At 42.5% G+C, this 19,792-nt stretch overlaps 1 pseudogene across 3 annotated transcripts in view, besides 1 other annotated feature; it reads left to right on the forward strand.

Annotated features, from left to right (window-relative positions):
- LOC100288637 (OTU deubiquitinase 7A pseudogene) overlaps positions 1-17,228 on the forward strand; it is a 126,895-nt pseudogene extending 109,667 nt beyond the window's left edge. For all 3 annotated transcript variants that reach the window (NR_038253.1, NR_038254.1, NR_038255.1), the window contains one exon: positions 12,077-17,228. The product of NR_038253.1 is annotated as an OTU deubiquitinase 7A pseudogene, transcript variant 1 (transcript). The remainder of the gene's footprint in view (positions 1-12,076) is intronic.
- Positions 18,059-18,324: a silencer, noted in NCBI's record as "fragment chr15:31066043-31066308 (GRCh37/hg19 assembly coordinates)". NCBI's record gives its function as "represses an EF-1alpha promoter that drives an FKBP-Casp9 reporter gene in an ReSE screen in phorbol 12-myristate 13-acetate-treated (for megakaryocytic differentiation) K562 erythroleukemia cells {active_cell/tissue: K562(+PMA)}" and the evidence as "EXISTENCE:reporter gene assay evidence [ECO:0000049][PMID:32094911]".

The raw sequence follows: 19,792 nt of genomic DNA on the forward strand, positions 1-19,792 counted from the left end.
GCTTTTCCTGGAATTAGTGCCCACTCTGGGTTAGGAGCTGCATTGACTCCACACTGGGGAGACTGGAGGAAGGGAAGTGTCTTGCTCACCTCCAGCTCTGTGGTACTTCCAACTGTGGTCTCCTTTCTGCATCGGCACCTCCAACTGTGATCCACCTTCCTGAGCCCGGTCGCTGCTGCCTGCACGCTGTCCAGGGGTCCCGACTGCACCCAGTGGGACAGAGGGTGGCAGTGGTGAGTGCTCACTCACCTCACCCACTGCTGGGTCCTGCCCTTGGCTTTCACAGGTAAGAGGACTGTGGTTCCATTGTGTATGATGGATTATTTAAGGTGTCAAAGTTATTTGGGTGAAGATTTCTCTAAAGCCAGTGTTTCAAAGAATGAAATATTTTTGTTGTAAGTCCTCAGAAAGATCTGTATTGGGAGGATGTCAGTAATGTAGGAATTTAGAGGGGAGATGTCTAAACAGACATAAATCCTCATGGTGGCAGAAGCTGAGTGGAAGGTACGTGGTCCTCATTTGTAACTTCTTGTATTTTTATTTATTTCAAAATAAAAAGTTAAACACTGCAATGATGGGAATCACAGTACAGCAGAGGGAGGCCAGTAAGAGAAAGGAGGAGCAGAGGCTGATCACAACCTTGGTAAACTGAGGCAAGTGAACACTGATCTGCCTCCAAACAGAAGAGGGTGGCCTTGCCTGTTCACCTGCTTCCTGTGTTACCAGATCAAACTTGGGTCTGGCTCTCTGGCGCAGCAAAGCCAAAAACTGACATCAAGATTGCAGTAAGAGAAAGTGAGACATTTATTGCAGGGCTGGAAGCCAGGAGAATTGGGCAGCTCATGTTTAAGCCCTGAATCCCCCAGTGCCATATAGGTAAGCGTTTTTACAGGCAGGAAGAGGCTGGGCGTGGTGGCTCATGCCTGTAATCCTAGCACTTTGGGAGACCTAGGCTGGTGGATCACCTGAGGTCAGGAGTTCGAGACCAGCCTGGCTAACATGGTGAAACCCTGTCTCTCCTACAGACACAAAAATTAGCTGGGTGTGGTGGCATACACCTGTAATCCCAGCTACTCAGAAGGCTGAGGCAGGAGAATCGCTTAAACCCAGGAGGCGGAGGTTGTAGTGAGCTGAGACCGCACCATTACACTCCAGCCTGGCGACAGAGCGAGACTCCATCTTGAAAACATAATAATAATAAAATAAAGGCAGGGGGCAGAAGTTACAGGCAAAGATATAAATCAATACACGGAGGCTGTACATTGGTTTGACCTAAAAAGACAGGACATCTTGAACCAGATGTGGGGCGGAGGGCATAGGTCATAGGTAGATTTGAAGATTTTCTGATTTACAATGGGTTAAGGAGACGAAGCTTTGTCTGCAAATTTGTGATCAGCAGAAAAGAATGTTAGCTCTGGTCTCTGGGCATGACTTCCTCCAGGCCCCTCAGTAGGAAATTTAGAACAAAGAGTGGTGGTCCAAACTCAGTCCTCAGTTTCCCCTGTCTGAGGTCTGCATGCCAGCAGATAGCACTTTTCATTTGTTGGTGTCTTGGTTTCTGGAAATCAACTTAAGGACTTCTGTTAAAATGTTATCTTTAGTCTCTATGGGAACTTTGGTCTATTCTGTGACTTAAACTTCCCTGGCTATTGTTTTAAGTTATTCTTCCCTTCTTGCTTCAGTTGCTCATTTACTTCCCTGTGCTGGCTAGGTACCTGGAAATGCCTTTGAAGGAACTTAAGATTTCCTTTTATTTCCATGCTTGGGGGCAGGTGCCCGGCAAGCCCCTAAGAGGGGTCTCTGCTCCATCTCATCTTCATATCAGCCCCTTGCATGTCCCTGAAGTGGTTCTCCAAAACAAATTCTAGTCAGGTAACTCCATTTCCTCCAATTTTTCATACTCCATCCCCATTACCTGCAAAATAAACTTCTCCAACTGGTACTCCAGCCCTTCAGCATCTAGTCGTATTCCGTCCCTCCCCTCATTACCTGAGGCATCTCTTCACCATCCCTTTCCCTGACTTGACACCCACCTCTGTGCTTCTGCCTCTACCCATTGCTCCTGCTGCTCCTCCCCCTGCACACACTGCCTGCCTGTTGAAATTCAGCTCTCCCTCCACGATGGATCATGAACTCCCCGACAGCAAGGACCATACAAGGTTTTGTTCACTGTTTGCCCAACACCCAGCACGTATGAGTCCCTCAGTAGAGTGATCTATTAATAGCTGCTGAGGTGCAGTGATGAGCAGCCAGACAGAAATTGCCCACATGGAGACAGATGGAAATAAGTTATATAGTGTGTTAGCCATTAGTGCTGTGGAGATAACTAAGTCGGGGAGAAGGAAGCAGGTATGAGTGTGTACAGTTTTAAATTAGGGTTGTCAGGGAAGGCTTCACTTAAAAAAAATGGGATCTGAGCAAAGATTTGAGGTGAGAAAGCAAGCCACGTGGATGTCTGGAGGAAGAAGTTTCTATGACGAGGTAAGGATTCACTGATAATTCCTTGCCCTCCTGTGGAACTTTGTGGACTTCTGCTGCAGCTTGTATTTGGTTGTGCCTTATTTTATAATTCATCACATGCTTATCAAGCTGGATTTGCCCAGTCTTGAGCACATGCCATTGATTGAGCAGAGTTCACGGCTCTGGCGTTTTCAAGTGTGTGCAATTAGAGGACTGCCATGGGCAAATCCCACACCCTTGAATGGGAACAAAAAGGTGGTCTAGGGACCATGAATCCTAAGCAGGAGTTAACACTCGACCACAAGGTGTGATGGCCCTTGGCCGGGGCTGGGACCATCAGTGGGTCTAGAAATACTGAAAGGAAACCGCTGGCTGCCCTTCCAAGTGTCCTGTTCCCACTAGGGAGAGCTCTGCCGTTAGACCAGACATATTTGGGGGAAAAATGGCAAAAAAAATAAAAATAAACATCTCCAGATCAGAATTCTAAGATACTCCCTCTCGCCTGGCCTCATTCAGGAAGACACATTCTTCCTTTAGAGAGATGAGTGTATTTAAATACTCTTAAACAGACCCATTAAGACCATTTGCAGTGAGTTTCCTTGTGTCACGCTGATCAATTAAGTAGATCTTATTTCCTTCATTTCCTTCCTATTGGGGAAGCTTGTAACCCCCAGGTATCATCACTGGCCTATTTTGTTGGTTTTATTCAAGAGTCTGTGCCATTGTGGCTGCTTGAAATTAAACACTTTGGCCAGGCTTGGTGGCTCATGCCTGTAATCCCAGCACTTCGGGAGGCCAAGGCAGGCAGATCACGAGGTCAGGAGTTCGAGACCAGCCTGACCAACATGGTGAAACCCTGTCTCTACTAAAAATACAAAAATTAGCCGGGTGTGGTGGTGCATACCTGTAATTCCAGCTACTCAAGAGGCTGAGGCAGGAGAATTGCTTGAACCCAGGAGGCATAGGTTGCAGTGAGCCGAGATCGCGCCATTGTACTCCAGCCTCCGCAACAGAGTGGGACTCTGTCTCAAAAAAAAAAAAAAAAAAAAAGGAAAAGAAGGAAAGAAAGGGAGAGAGAGAAAGAGAGAAAGAAAGACACTTCCTCTCCGGAAAGCCAGTCATATTCATCCCAGCGTCTTTCTTGGTGTCTGTGCATGGATAAAGCCTCCCCATTCCCCCGTGCCCCCCACCACTTTGTGTCCTTTCACTTTGCTTCACTTATGTGCCCACCACTCCAGGGCTCCCTGAGGTCCAGGAATTCCATGCCATTCCCTTTCACATGGCTGAGAGCCCCAGCCCTGTGGATGAGCTGTCCTGAGTGGGCACTCAGTAATGTGGGCGTAACTGAACCAAGCTGAAGAGGGAAGGAGCAAAAAACAACCAGAAGCCCTCAGATTCAGAGTCATGTCGTTAAACACTTTTTAAAATAAAAAATTAGCTGTGCAAACTGAAATCAATTTAAACTATTTTCTTTGACTAGGCAGGAAAGAGGAGGCTGCTACATATTAAGAACTCCCACTTAAGCCAAACCTTCATGTTTCCAATCTCCAAGCAGGCATTGAGGGCCTCTGGGCTGCGTGTGGGAGAGCCAGGAAGAAAGAAGAGTAGGCCCTGCCTTTAAGGTCCTTCCTGCCTAAAGCAATCTATAGGCAGCTGTGTTCTAACAAAACTTTTATTTATAAAACAGGCAGCCAGCCAGCCTGCCTATGGGCAGTAGTTTGCCAACCTGTGCTGTAGATTAAAAGAGGCTTAAGAGATCTGTCAGATAGTGATAATGTATGCACATTATTTGAATACTGATTCCAACAAACTAAAAAAGAAAAATTATAAGACAATCTGGGAAATGTGAGCACTTAACATTTACTGGATATTTGATGATATTAAAGAATAACTACTTTTAGATATGATATTTTTATTATGATAGTGCTAAGAAAAATAAGATACATACTGACGTGGATGGATGAAGTAATATCATGCAGGGGTTTTCTGGGGACAGGCGAATGGGTGGGAGAGGAGATGAAACAATATTATCCATGAGTTGATTTTGATTAAACCTGAATAGTAGATGCAAACAGGTTTATTATAAGTGATGTACGAATGTTTCCATAATAAAAAGTTTTAAAACAGACAGCACCAGGAAACCTCCACTTCCAGCCAAGATGAAGTATCAGAATGTGGGTGTGCCCTCCTGCCTGAAAAAGAAAAAGATAAATATGATAAACAAGACACTGAACGTTAGATAGTGAAGGACAGTAGTCCCCAAGAGATTGGAAACAAACAAGGTTAGTCCTATAATTGCCCAGCTCACTGCCTTGAGAAAGTTTCTAATCCGTGGTACAGGGAGGAGGAACCCAGAGGAAGCTTGCCTGACTCCACAGTGGAAGGAGACAGAGCTTAGAGTCCCAGGAGTCCAGGAGGCTGGAGTCCTCAGGTCAGAGCCTGAGAGCGGAGACAGCTACACAGAGAGAACTGCAGCGATTCACAGAGGGTTTGCCTGTGCCACTCAGCCAAGTGCCGATCAGTGCCTGTGTGTGAGGAAGCTGTGTGCAGCTGGGGAGAGAACCACCTGAGAGGATTAGAGGAAACAGTGCCTGGGGCTGATACAGAGCCATGGAAAGTGCCTGTGCTCACCAGCCAGGCCGGACAAGCACTGAATATAATACCTAGAAGGATCTTGCCTCAGTAATTGGGAATAATTAGCCCTGTAATAAAAACTTTTCTAGGGCTAGACACAGTAGCTCATACCTGTAATCCCAACACTTTCGGAGGCCAAGCCAGGAGGATGGCTTGAGGACAAGAGTTCAAGACCAGCCTGAACAACATAGCAAGACCTCTGTCTCTACAAAAATCTTCTAAAAATTAGCTGGGCATCGTGGCATATGCCTGTGGTCCTGGCTACTCAGGAGGCTGAGTTGAGGAGATCACTTGAGCCCAAGAGTTCGAGGTTATGGTGAGCTATGATCGCACTGCTGACTCCAGCCTAGGCAACACTAAGACCCTGACTCTAAAAAAATAAAAGTAAATAAATCACTCTGATCATACCTAATGAACCTTAAAAGCAAGAAGCAAGATCCACAAGGATCACAGTGAAATGGCCTCATTGCCTGATCCAAAGTTCTTGATCTCACAGCCAAGGAAGTCAAGGACACGGCCACACCAAGGGTGAGGTTAGAGCAGAAGCAGAAGTTTATTAGGCAAAAGAAAGATAACAGCTCTCTGCAGCAGAGAGGGATTAAAAGCGTTGCCATTCAGCAGTGAAATTCAAGGGTTTTTATAAGCTAGCTAGTGGGGAGGTGAGGTGTTATCTTACCTACATAGGGTGTGAAAAACCCCAGGTGTGCCATCTGCGTAGAGCATGAATCTCTGGCATCCCCCACCCCACCCTTTTATTATACAGGCAGGTCTTTTGCCTGAGCTACTCCACGTTGCTTTCCTACTGTGTATGTGCTTCAAAGGGGGAGGTGGAGCCTCCATGGTGGACACACCTGGCCTCAGGTACCCCTTTCTGTCTGTGCAGCTGCAAGCATCCCCCGATGCAAACTCCAGCTTCCTTATCTGTTTGCAGCCGGGTCTTCCAGGCTGCTTTCTGTTAGAAGAGGAGTGATTTCCTGGGCTGCTTTTTGGTAGAAGGGAAGTTCTGCCGAGGACTCTCTGCCCTAACTATCTGCCTAGCTGGTCTCTTTTTACCTCCTCTCTCAAGAGTATTTCCAAGAAATGTAACTTCATTCTACAACAAAGCTCAATAACATTTATAGAAATATAAACTTGTCCAGCACCAAATAATGTAAAAGTCTTGCTGTCTGGCACCCAATCAGAAGTTATCAGGAATGCAAAGTAGCAGGAACATAGGACCCATAATGAGGAGAAACTGTTCAATCAAAGTCAAACCAGAACTGCTAGAGATGTTAAAATTATCAGACAAGGGCACTAAAAGTTATTAATAACTGTACTCTATAGAATAGAATAAGGTACATATTGAGATGCTGTTCAGATGTTTAAGTAAAGATATGGAACATACTTTTTAAAGCTTGAGCTGAACTTCCAGAGATGAAGACTACATCTGAGATGAAAAAGTAACTCAATGGAATTAACAGCACATTGCTTAATACAAAAAAAGAGAAAGGTTAGTGAACATGAAGACATAGCAATGGAAAATATCCAAAATGGAACACAGAAAAAAATAGAAGTAAAGAAATATTAAAGGCATCAGTGAAAGCCAGGTGCAGTGGTGCATATCCGTAATCCCAGCTACTTAGGAGGTTGAAGCAGAATTATTGCTTGAGCCCAGGAGTTTGAGGCTAGCCTGGGCTACATAATGAGACCCTCATCTCTAAAAAAGAAAAAATAATTAAAAATTAAATCATCTGTGAGCTGTGGAAAAATGTAAGCAGCCTAAAATAAGTGTAATTGGAATCCTTGAAGGAGAGGCATGAACAATAGGAAAAAATGATTCAAGGAAACAGTACCTCTAAGAAAATGTATAAGTTAAACACCTCTATTAGAAAAGAAGCAGGGCCTCAAATCAGTTACCTTAATTTTTATCTTGAAAACTAGAAAAAAAAAAAGCAAATTAAACCCAGACAGAAGAAATGAAATAATAAAGACCAGAACAAAAAACAATGAAATACTAAATGGAAAAATAAATTAAACCCAGACAGAAGAAATGAAATAATAAAGACCAGAACAAAAAACAATGAAATAGTAAATGGAAAAATAGTAGAGAAAGTCAGTGAAACCAAAAGTGGGGTCTTTGAGATCAATAAAATTGATAAACCCATAGCCACATAATCAGAGGAAAAAGAAGATACAAATTAACAATATCAAGAATGAAAGAGATGACCTCAGTACAGATTCTCAAGATATTAAAAGGATTATAAAGGAATATTATAAACAATTCTATGCCAATAAATGCAGCAAGTTAAATGAAATTCACAAATTATTTGAAAGGTACAAAATACCAAAGCCTATACAAGAAAAAAAATAAATGATTTGAATAGCTCTATGTTTATTAATGAAATCTAAGTTGTAGTTTAAAACTTTCTCACAAAGATAACTGCAAGCATCTATAGCTTCATTGGTAAATTCTACCACACATATAAAGGAAAAATTTTACCAGCTCTTCCAGGAAATTGAAAAGGGTTTGTACTTCTCAACTCATTCATTCTTTGCGCCAGCATTACCCTAATACAAAACCAAGAAAGACTACAGACAAATATTCCTCATGAAGAAAAGTGTGAAAATACTGAAAAAAATTTTAGCAAATCGAATTTGGCATTATATAAAAAGGATACTACATCATGACTAAGTGGGTTTTATCCCAAGAATGCAAAACTAGTTTAACATTCAAAAACCAATCAACATAATTTTCCATATTAATATACTGAGAAACAGAAGGTATACAATCATCTCAGTAAATGCAGAAAGAGCCTTTGGTAAAATCCACATTCGTTCTTGATTTTTAGAAAACACTCAGAAAACTAGGAATAGAAGAAAACCTCCTCAATCTTATATAAAGTATTTACAAAAAAGCCTACAGCTAACCTGACACCTAGTGATGAAAGAAAGCTTTTCCCCAAAGATCAAGAGGGAAATAAGGATGCCCTCTTTCACCACTTCTATCCAACATTTTCCTGGACATTCTAGCCAGTGCAGTCAAACAATAAATTATAATTAAAAAGCATCCAGATTGGAAAAGAAGAAGCAAACTATCTTTATTCACAGGTGACATGATGACATATGTAGAATATCTAATGGAATTTAAAAGCATTTTTTGGAACTAGTAAGTGAAGTTAGCAGTGTTGTAAGATAGAAAATCAATATAGAGAGGTCAGTTGCATTTTTACAATTGCAATGAATAATTGCATTATTTTTAAAAATAAATTTTAAAAATACTTTATTCAGTAGCATCCAAAAATATAAAATGTGAATAAATTTACAACTGAAACTTCAAAAGATTGCTTAAAGAGATGAAAAACCTAAATAAAGGGTTAAGTGTACCATATACAGGGTCAAAAGACTCAATATTGTTAAGATGTTGGTTCTCCCCAGATCGCTTTAAATTCAGTACGATCTCAATAACAATCCAAACCAGCTTTTTATGTAGAAATTAACAAGTTGACTTTAAAATCCATACATAAATCCAAGGATAGAGAATAAACAAAACAAACTTTGAAAAATTGGAATAAAGTTAGAAGGCGTATTAGTTCTCACATTGCTATGAAGAGATACCCAAGACTGGGTAATTTATAAAGGAAAGAGGCTTAGTTGACTCACAGTTCCACATTACTGGGGAGGCCTCAGGAAACTTACAGTCATGGTGGAAGACAAAGGAGAAGCAGGCACCTTCTTCACAGGGCAGCAGGACGGAGTGAGTGCAAGCAGGGGAGATGCCAGACACTTATAAAACCTTCAGATCTTGTGAGACTCACTCATTATTCACAAGAACAGCATGGGGGAAACTGCCCCCATGATCCAATGACCTCCACTCAGTCCTGCCCTTGACACGTGGAGATTATGGGGATTTCAATTCAAAGTGAGATTTGGGTGGGGACATAGAGCCAAACTATATCAGAAGTCTGACAATACCTGATATTAAAACTCATAAGAGTACAGTAATCAAAACTGTGATATTGATCAAATGTTCAACATGAGGACTATCATTAATAATATTGCATAGTGTACTAGAAAATTTGCTCTTACCACTCACAGACATACACACACATATGCACAAAGGGGTAACCGTGAAATGATGAATAAGCTAATGTGCTTGACTATAATAACCATTTCACTATGTATAAGTGTATCAGAACATCATATCATATACCTTAATATATACAGTAAAGTAGTTTTTTTAATGTAGAGAATTAGATCAATGAAACAAATTGGAAAGTTAAGAAACAGTTTACATATGTGGACAACTGATCTTCAATAAGGATACAAAAGTAATTCAGTGCAAAAAAATCATCTTTTCAACAAATTGTGGGATAATTGGATTTATATATGCAAAAGAAGTGAACTTTGGTTTACATCTCACTCATATGCAAAAATTACCTTAAAATGGATGGTATCCCTAAATATAAAACCTAAAGCTAAAAAAGTCTTCTAGAAAAAAACACAGGAGAAAATCTTTTTATTTTATTTTTATTATTTTTTTTATTTCCTTAGATTATTGGCATACAGGTGGTGTTTGGTTACATGAGTAAGTTCTTTAGTGGGGATTTGTGAGATTTTGGTGCACCCATCACCCAAGCAGTATACACTGAACCCTATTTGTAGTCTTTTATCCCTGAGTCCTCAAAGTCCATTGTGTCATTCTTCTGCCTTTGCATCCTCATAGCTTAGCTGCCACTTATAAGTCAGAACATACGATGTTTGGTTTTCCATTCCTGAGTTACTTCACTTAGAATAATAGTCTCCAGTCTCATCCAGGTCGCTCAAATGCCATTAATTCATGAGAAAATCTTTTTAACCTTGTCTTAGGAAAAGATTTTCTAGAGACAATACCCCATGAACAATCCATAAAAGAAAAAATTAATAAATTGGACTTCATTTAAAACTTAAACTGCTTTTTGAGGATAGTGCTAAGAGAATGAACAGATAAACTACAAGTTGGAAGAAAGTACTGCAAATCATATATGTGGTAAAGTACTTGTTTCTAAAATATGTAAAGAGCTCTCATGACTCAATTATTTTTGTAAAAACTATCCAATTAAAAATAAGCAAAAGCTTTGAACAGACTTCACCAAAGAAGATACATGGATAGCAAATAAGCAGGTGAAAAGACGCTCAACATCATTAATCCTTAGGGAAATATAACTTAAAGCCAGAATGAGATAGCACTACACACCTATGAGAATGACTAAAACCAACAATACTGAGCATACCAAATCTCAGCAAGGATGTGGAAAAACTGGTAAATTTGTACGCTGCTGGTTTTGAATGGAAAGTGGTGCAGCCACTTTAGAAAACAATTCAGCAAGTTCTTCAAAATTAGACATGTACCTAGTGTACAATCCAGCAAATTTTACTCCTATTTATTTACTTAAGAAAACCGAAAGCCTTTGCCCATAGCAAAGCTTGTACACAGATGTTTTTAGCATTCTTAGTGAGGGCTAAAAAACTGGAAGCAACCTAAATGCCCATCACAGGTAAACAGGTAAACAAATGGTGGTAGATACATACACTGGAATGCTACTCGGCTCTCAATCCAAAGGAGTGAATTATTGATAACGTGCAACAACAGTGATGACTCTCAAAATAATTACATGAAGTGAAAGAAGTGAGACAAAAAAAAAACTACATGTTGTGCAATTCCACTTATGTAAAGTCTAGGAAATGCATAGTGATCTATAGCGATGGAATGCAGGTCAGTGATTGCCTCAGATAGGGCTGAGGGCAGCAGTGAGCAGTGGGGATTACAAAGCAGCTGAGGAATTTTTTTTTTTTTTTTTTTTTTTTTTTTTAGAGGGAGGCTGGAGTGCGGTGGTGCGACCTCGTCTCACTGCAAGCTCTGCCTCCTGGGTTCATGCCATTCTCCTGCCTCAGCCTCCTGAGTAGCTGGGACTACAGGCGTCCGCCACCATGCCTGGCTAATTTTTTGTAGTTTAGTAGAGATGGGGTTTCACTGTGTTAGCCGGGATGGTCTTGATCTCCTGACCTCATGATTCGCCCACCTCAGCCTCCCAAAGCGCTGGGATTATAGGCGTGAGCCACCGCGCCTGGCCTGAGCAATCTTTTGAGAGTGGTAGATATGTATGGTATCTTGCGGTGATAACAGACCTCAGAGGTATTGCAGATTCAGTTCCAGACCACTGCAATAAATATAGCAATAAAGCAAGTCACATGAATTTTTTGGTTTTCTAGTGCATATAGAAATTATGTTGGCTAGGCACAGTGGCTCACACCTGTAGTCCCAACACTTTGAGAGCCAAGGAGGATGGATAGCTTGAGCCCGGAGTTCCAGACCAGCTTGGGCAGCATGGTGAGACCTCGTCTCTATTGAGAAAAAAAAAAAAAAACCCTACAAAAATCAGCCTGGTTTGGTGGTGCATGCCTGTAGTCCCAGCTACTGGGGAGGCTGAGGTGGGAGGATTGCTTGAGTTGAGGAGACAGAGGTTGCAGTGAGTAGAAATAGTGCCACTCTACTCCAGTCTGGGTGACAGAGCAAGACCCTGTCTCAAAAAAAAAAGTTATGTTTATACTATTCTGTAGTCTACTAAGTGTTCAATAGCATTATATCTAAAAAAGTACATAACTTGATTTGAAAAAATACTTTATTGCCAAAAATGCTAACAATCATCTGAGCCTTCAGTGAGTCATAATCTTTTTGCTGGTGGAGGGTCTTGCCTCAATGTTTATGGCTGCTAACTGATCAGGGTGGTGATTGCTGAAGGTTGGGGTGGCTGTGACAATTTTTTAAAATAAGACAATCATGAAGTTTGATGCATTTAATTGACTCTTCCTCTCATGAAAGATTTCTCTGTAGCATGTGTGATGCTATTTGATAGCATTTTACCCACAGTGGAACTTCTTTCAAAATTGAACTCAGTCCTCTGAAACCTTGCTGCTGCTTTATCAAATGCATTTTGTAATTTCTAAATCCTTTTTGTCATTTCAGCAATGTTCACAGCATCTTTACCGGGAGCAGATTCCATCTCAAGAAACCACTTCCTTTGCTCATCCATAAGAAGCAACTCCCCAACTTGAGATTGTAGCAATTTAGTCACATCTTCAGACTCCACTTCTAATTCCAGTTCTCTTCCACGACATCTGCAGTTAATTCTTCCACTGAAGTCTTGGACCCCACAAAGTCATCCATGAGAGTTGGAATCCACTTCTTACAACCTCCTGTTAATGTCGATAATTTGACCTCCTCCCATGAATCATAGATGTTCTTATTGACTTCTAGAGTTGTGAATCCTTTCCAGAAGGTTTTCAATGTACTTTGCCCAGATCTATCAGAGGAATCACTGTCTATGGCAGTTATAGCCTTATAAAATGTATTTCTTAAGTAATAAGAGTTGCAAGTCAAAATTACTCCTTGATCCGTGGAGTACAGAATGGATGTTGTATTAGCAGACATGAAAACATTGATCTTGAACATCTTCATCAGAGCTCTTGGGTAACTAGGTGCATTGTCAAATGAGCAGTAATATTTTGAAAGAAATCTTTCTTTCTGAGCAGCATGTCTCAGCAATGAGCTTAAAATATTCAGTAAACCAAGGTATCAACAGATGTGCTGTGCCCAGGCTTCTTTGTTCCTATAGAGCACAGGAAGAGTAGATTTAGTGTCATTCTTAAGGGCACTAGAACTTTCAGAATGATAAATGAGCATTTGTTTCAACTTAAAGTCACCAGCTACAATTGTCCCTGTCTGTAGAAGCTTTGAAGCCAGGCAGAGACTTATTCTCATCTAGCCTAGATAACATCTTCTTCCAATAGACGGCTGTGTTGTCTACATTGAACATCTGTTGTATAGTGTAGCCACCTTAATCAGCGATGTTAACTAGATCTTCTAAGATCTAGAGATCTTGCTGCAGCTTCTCCATCAGCACTTGCCACTTCCCCAGTGCTATAACATAAAACTTTTATGTTATTGAAGATGGCTTTTTTCCTTAAACCTCATGAACCAACCTCTGCTAGCTTCTAACTTTTCTATTCTTTTTTTTTTTTTCCATTTGAACAACTTGACATTTTAGGGTTGTTAATAGCCTAACTTTAATATGTTGTGTCTCAAGGAATACGGAGGCCTGAGGAGAGGGAGACCGGAGAATCACTGGTCAGTGGAGCAGTCAGAACACACACAACGTTTATTAAGTTCATCGGTATGTGTGGGTGTGGTTCGTGGTGCCCCAGAACCAGAACTGTTGTAATTACAACAGTAACATCAAAGATCACTGAGCACAGGTCACTATAACAAATATAATCCTAATGGAAAAGTTTGAAATACTGTGAGAATTCCCAAAATGTGACACAGAGATGCACAGTGAGTGCATGCTGTTTGAAAAATGATGCCAATAAACTTGCTCAGCACAGGGTTGCCACAAACCTTTAATTTGTAAAAAGAAAATGCAGTATCTTCAAAGGGCAATACAGTAAAGCACAGTAAAATGAGGTGTGTCTGTATGGACACGTGTCAGCTTCTCAAATTGTAAACTTTAAATATGTGCATTTTATTTGGTGTCAATTGTATAAAGCGATTAAATTTTTAAAAGGACTGATGCAGACAGCACCTGGCATCTGGGATAAAGTGTATCATTTTCCTCTTTATGGCAGGAACTGCCACGCCCCCTGTTTTCATGCTGCTGGAGACCAGCCGGCAGGTGGGGGGCAGTGGCTCTCCTTGTCAATCCTGGGCATGCAGGTGACAGTGCAGGGAGAGTGCCCTTCCCACATGGCCCACGTTTGTAGCCACAGCTGTCCCTGCAAAAACTGTGCAGCCTGAAGTGAATTAACAAGACAGTTTTCAGATCTTCACTTGCTTGTGGGTTTCACATGTCACATTTAACCTCCAGTTACATCGACTTTTTCAAACCCCACTTAGGCATCTTAGAATTTTATCATTTGCATTCTTTTATGTTGAATAAGAGAGTTGTAGTACATGCCCCACTGTCTGCTTTCTGAAACATCCAGGTTGGAGTTAGCGCCTTCACACACTCTCCCTGGAAGCACCAGGCGCCATCCTCAGTGCAGCGGCAAGGCGGTGTCGGGGCTCTCTGCCCCCAGGTCTCTCCCCGCCTGGTTCCATTGGCTGCTGGGAAGGATGTTTGGATGGGAGGTCTTTGTGTTTTCAGGCAGGAAATATTATTTGCTCCGCTAGCCCTAGGCCTTACTAATTTACTGTGCAGTCTTCAACAAATTTCTTGATCTTCTGCTCTCTGTTTTCTCATCTGTAAAATTGAGGGCAGTGAGCAAGGTGACCTGTAGGTCCCAGGAGTGCCAAGGTAGTGCCGTATTTAGTACCAGGTTTTCCTAAGAGGAAATGGGGGCTACTTGGGGTCAAAACAAAGGAGAGTCTTTCTAGATAGGGAAGGACTAGCAGTGGGTCAAAACTTGCCAAGAAGGACTATGAAGGGAGCTTTGCTTGGGGTTTAAAAGCTCTGATCACAGACTTGGAGGGGCTCAAACCCCTCGCTTTAGAAGGCAGAAACCAAGAACCACTAAGGACCTAGGACTTGCTGACGGTGTCTTTGGAGTTAAAGGTGGAACTGAAGTTAGAGCTGATTTTCTTCCTGTCACATCCAGTAAGACTGGGAATGGTTGGGTGCCAGAGGCAGGTTCCAGAAGGTGGGAAGAGTCCTGTCTGCATCCCCAGGGTCCTAACCTTGAGGAAAGCTTGCTGTCCTTTTGTCCTGCTTCACACTCCCTTTGGTTAAAGGTTTCACTCAGAGCCCGATGGAAACCTTCAGGAAAAAAGGGCCCCAAACCGAGGCGAGGACACTGGGGAAGCCTTGGGTGGTTTCTGTGTGGGGCGGCCCCTGCTCTGTGAAGCACAGGGGAATAGGACTCCATCGCTGTCATCGTCACTCATGCCCTGGTGCAGACCTGCAGGAACATTGCCTGCTGTATACAGGGCAAATGGGCACTGTGCCGGGAGAAGCCTGTAGGAAGAGAGACCTGGAGGGATGAGGAGGGAACTCCGACCATGAGCATGCACGGAGCTCCGTGAAGGAGGGCCTTGACAGACAGAGGCATGGTGGGTGGAGACGGGTGGAGAACATCCGGGCAGAACACAGAGCATGCGCCGTGGCGTGCTGGCAGGGACGTATATGCTGTGTAAAGGCAGGGAGTAGGTCCAGGTGCCCTGGGAAGAGTGTGTGTAGAGAAACGTCGTGGAAGAGGAGACGCCAAGGAAGACCCGATGCGAGGTCATGGCTGGTTTGCGTGCTTTGTGGAAACTGCCATAGACTGGCTTTTGTCAGCAATGGCAGAGAGAGGGGGTTGCATTTTTCTCCTTTTAGTTTGCTTTTGAGGTCTCCCTCTCTCTGTAGAGTGGCTGTGAACTCCAGCCCTGCCCTGATGGGGCTCCAGGGGAGGTGGTTGTGCATGTTTATGATGTGCCTTCACGGGGTACTTCTTTATCCTGGTGGATGGCAGAATCCCTGTGTCTGACCTGTGCCCAGGTCTCTCATGAGAAACTTGTTTACCCTCTTAGATACCCTTGAGTCTCTTGTCTGTGTCTGGTGTATTTATTTATTTAGCCTACCAAGATAGCCACTCTTCAGGAGAGTTCTGAATTTGGAAAGAAGTTAGGATCAGGTGTGTTGGTCAAGTGAGACACAGAGGAGGCCACTCAACAAAACCCATGAAATACCAGAAGCAGTGAGTTCCTCGCAGGTCCAGAGAGAAGAGGGCAGCACGCTGGACTGGGGGAGCCGTCAGGACCCTTGTGCTCGCCAGCAGGTGGGGAGCAAGAGAGATGGAGTGTGGGCCCTGAGAGCTGAAGCCTTTATGGGGTCCAGGCCATCACCCCAGCAGGTTCCCAAGAAGTTGTAATTCGTTGGCTTAGATCAGGTAGGCACAAGTTACGGGAGGCCATGTTGTGAGGGAGAGGTGGTCATGGCAGCATATCTGGGCAGTCCATGCCGGGTGTGAGGGTCTGCAGGGTGGGTCAAGTAGGTTGCATCTAGCTGTCCCTTAGGGACTTGGTCACCAGGAGGCAGCTATATAAGGCACATCTCTGGATCGACCATTTTGAGGGCCTGGGAAGAGGTGGAGACGTGGAAACTTTCAAGGATGACTAAGCCCTGCTTCTGGTATGAGAAAGTCCAACATATATTCAAAATAGGTACCAAGAAAGCATAACATTGTAAGAATTCACTGCAGTGGATCATCTGAAGGGTCTAAGGTGAGAAATGAATATGTAGTGTAGAAGTTGAAGAGGCATCCACAGGAATGATCTCTAATGAACTGGATCTGCCTCCAAGATAGAGATCAAAATTGGTTTAAAACAAATACAAGCCAGGTGCAGTGGATCACGCCTGTAATTCCAGCACTTTGGGAGGCCAAGGCAGGAGAATCACTTGAGGCGAGGAGTTGGAGCCTAGCCTGGGCAATATAGTACGACCCTGTCTTTACTAAAAATGCAAAAATTAACCACGTATGGTGGCTCACACCTGTAGTCCTGGCTACTGAGGAGGCTGATGCAGGAGAATCATTTGAACCCAGGAGGTCAAGGCTGCAGTGAGCTATGATTGCACCACTGCAATCCAGCCTGGACAACACAGTGAGACCCTGCCTCAAAAAAATTATATTCTGATTTTCTGAGTCCATGAACACATTGTCCAAATGGATTTTTCTAGCTCCTCCAAGTTACAGATAGTTCCACGCACACACAGAACTCACCACTCTCAAATATTTTCCCCACTAGTATACTATTAAATTTTTCAAACATGCAAAAGATGAAAGAATTGCTCAGTGAACACCATGTACCCACCACCTAGATTCTACAATTAACATTTTACCCTACTTTCTTTATCACATATATGTACCTATCCATCTATCCATTCTTCCATGAATCCATCAATTCATCTAATTTTTTATATATTTCAAGTTAAGTTGCAGATATGTAGCTTATGTTTCACCTTAAATGTTTCTGCCTGGCTATTATTAACTGGAGTGCAATATGTTTTTGGTTCTTCTTTATGGTAAAATCTATGTTCAGTGAAATGCACAAGACTTAGGTATGCCATTAATAGGTTTTGACGAATAGACAAACCTTGTGTCTGAAACTGTAATAAAAAAATCAAACACTACCTTGCTTTCAAAAAGTTTCCTCACTTCTTTTCTTGGTCAAAACCCCTCCCCACCTCAGCCCACCCCTCAGCAACCATTGTTCTCAATTTTTTTTTTTGCATTCCTAGATTGATTTTGCTTGTTCCATAACCTCGTATAAATGAAAGTGTACAGTGTGCAAGGTTTGTGTCTGGTTTTTCCACCAAGCACATTTCTGAAATTCATCTATGTTGAGTATATTAGCAGTTCATTTCTTTTGAAGAAAGAATGAAGTGTGCTAAGTAGTGTTTCATTGTGTGGCTATACCACAGTTTTTTTTTTATCCATCACTATTTGATGGGTATCTGGGTGGTTTCTGGCTTTGGCTACTATCAGTAAAGCTACTACAGACATTTCTGTAAAAGTCTTTTTATGGAGATGTGGCTTTGTTTTTCTTGGGTAAACACCTATTAGTGAACTCTCTGGATCCCAGGTAGATGTAGCCGGGGTCATAGGCAGAGGTATGTTGAGTATTACAGAAACTGCTAGGCCTTTTCAATTGTGTTCATATTGTTTTATACTCCCACTGTAACAACATACGAGAGTCCTGCTTGCTCCATCATCTTTGATGTTTAGTGTTGTCAGTCTTTTTAACTTTAGCCATTCTAGTGCATTTGTATGTCATTCCATTGCAGTTCTTTTTTTTTTTTTTTTTTTTAATCAGTAATGTTTAGTCAAAGTCTGATATTGTGGTGTACTAGTCATCTATTGCCGCATACAAAATCATCCCAAAATTTAGCAGCCTAAGATAACCATCATATATTTCTTACACCATTTCTGAGGCTCATAAATCCAAGCGTGGCGTAACTGGCTCACGGTCCTTCTCGAGGTTGCAGTCCAGCTGGGGCTGCAGGACCTTCTTCCATCCCCACTCGCAGGGCTGCTGGTGGCCTCAGTTCTTCACTGGCGGTCAGCAGGAGACCTCAGAGCCTCACCACAGCCTCTTCCCTGGCTGCCTGGGCAACCTCGTAAGGCATCAGTTGACTTCCCTCAGAGCAAGTGATCAGAGAGAGGTAAAGAGACAGCTTACGATGGAAGCCACAGTCTGTCATGGAGTAATCTCGGAAGTGACATCCCATCACATGGGCTATAATCCATCGGTCATACAGACTAACCCTAGTACAAAGTGGAGGGGGCCACACAGAAGGATCCTTGGGGGCTATCTTGGAGGGTGGCCACCCCGTGGGGAGAAGGTGGAAGCAGCCGCCTCAGGGAGGCAGATTGTAATCAGGACCCATAGGAGTAGCAGGGAGCCCATGTGTTTCTGTGCAGTTTGCTGAAGCCAGTCAGAACATCCTGAGTCTGACTTATCACCCTTCTCTGGCCTGCTGGGGTTCCTGAACCAAGTAGTTTAACTTGCCAAGCCTTAGTTTCTGCAGTTATAAAATGGTGGTATGAATGAATGAAACAAGGTATCCGCAACACTGAAATGGAACATAATAGGGCCTGAACAGAGGACAGTTATGAATATTTCCATACAAAATGCAATTTCATGCCCTTCATCAATGGTCATTTTCTCTCATTTTACTTTTGAGGACTAGATTTGCCAAAGTCCCTCTGGGGCCAACCCAGTACACCACTGAGAAGCCCTTTGAAAAAGCCAGCTTTATCATCGTTTTGTTTTTATTTCTTGATATTTGGAAAGTTTTCTTCCTTCTGCTTCTATGTGTCCTCTGCCTAACTAGTCATGGTGACTCCTTGGATAGTATTCTCCATGGTTTCTTGTAAAATATTGATGCTTACCTTGCAATCTTGCAGCTTTTAGCATGAATTATTTTGCTGATTATAATCAGGCCTCTAGGAATAAACACCACTGATTTTAATTTAATGTTAAATTTGTACTAAGAGTGAATCATAATGGTCGGACTAATCTAAATGGTGCAAGTATATAAAACTACATGTCCATGTGCTCAGTTCCTGCTTGTTTATGTTTTGTTATAAAGTAACAGCTTTTTAACATCAAATATATTCCAAGTAGCCACCTTACAGTCACACTGCAAAACCTACTACAAAGCAAAGCCAACAAGACAAAGTCAAAATATTTCAAAGTTTCTTACTGAAGTATTGCATACCTCTAGAAATCACAACATAACTGTACAACTTAATGAATTCTCAGAAAATATAGCATCGGTGCAAATATCATTGAAATCAAATTGGTGGGGCAGTTCCAAGTTGGCCGAATAGGAACAGCTCCAGTCTATAGCTCCCAGCGTGAGCGACGCAGAAGACAGGTGATTTCTGCATTTCCAACTGAGGTACCGGGTTCATCTCACTGGGGCTTGTCAGACAGTGGGTGCAGCACACCGAGCATGAGCCGAAGCAGGGCGAAGCATCGCCTCACCCGGGAAGTGCAAGGGGTCAGGGAATTCCCTTTCCTAGCCAAGCAAAGCTGTGACAGATGGCACCTGGAAAATCAGGTCACTCCCACCCTAATACTGTGCTTTTCCAATGGTCTTAGCAAATGGCACACCAGGAGATTATATCCCATGCATGGCTCAGAGGGTCCCATGCCCACGGAGCCTCGCTCATTGCTAGCACAGCAGTCTGAGATCAAACTGCA

Source organism: Homo sapiens, chromosome 15 (assembly GCF_000001405.40).
Source record: "Homo sapiens chromosome 15, GRCh38.p14 Primary Assembly".
In the NCBI taxonomy this organism is placed as follows: domain Eukaryota; kingdom Metazoa; phylum Chordata; class Mammalia; order Primates; family Hominidae; genus Homo; species Homo sapiens.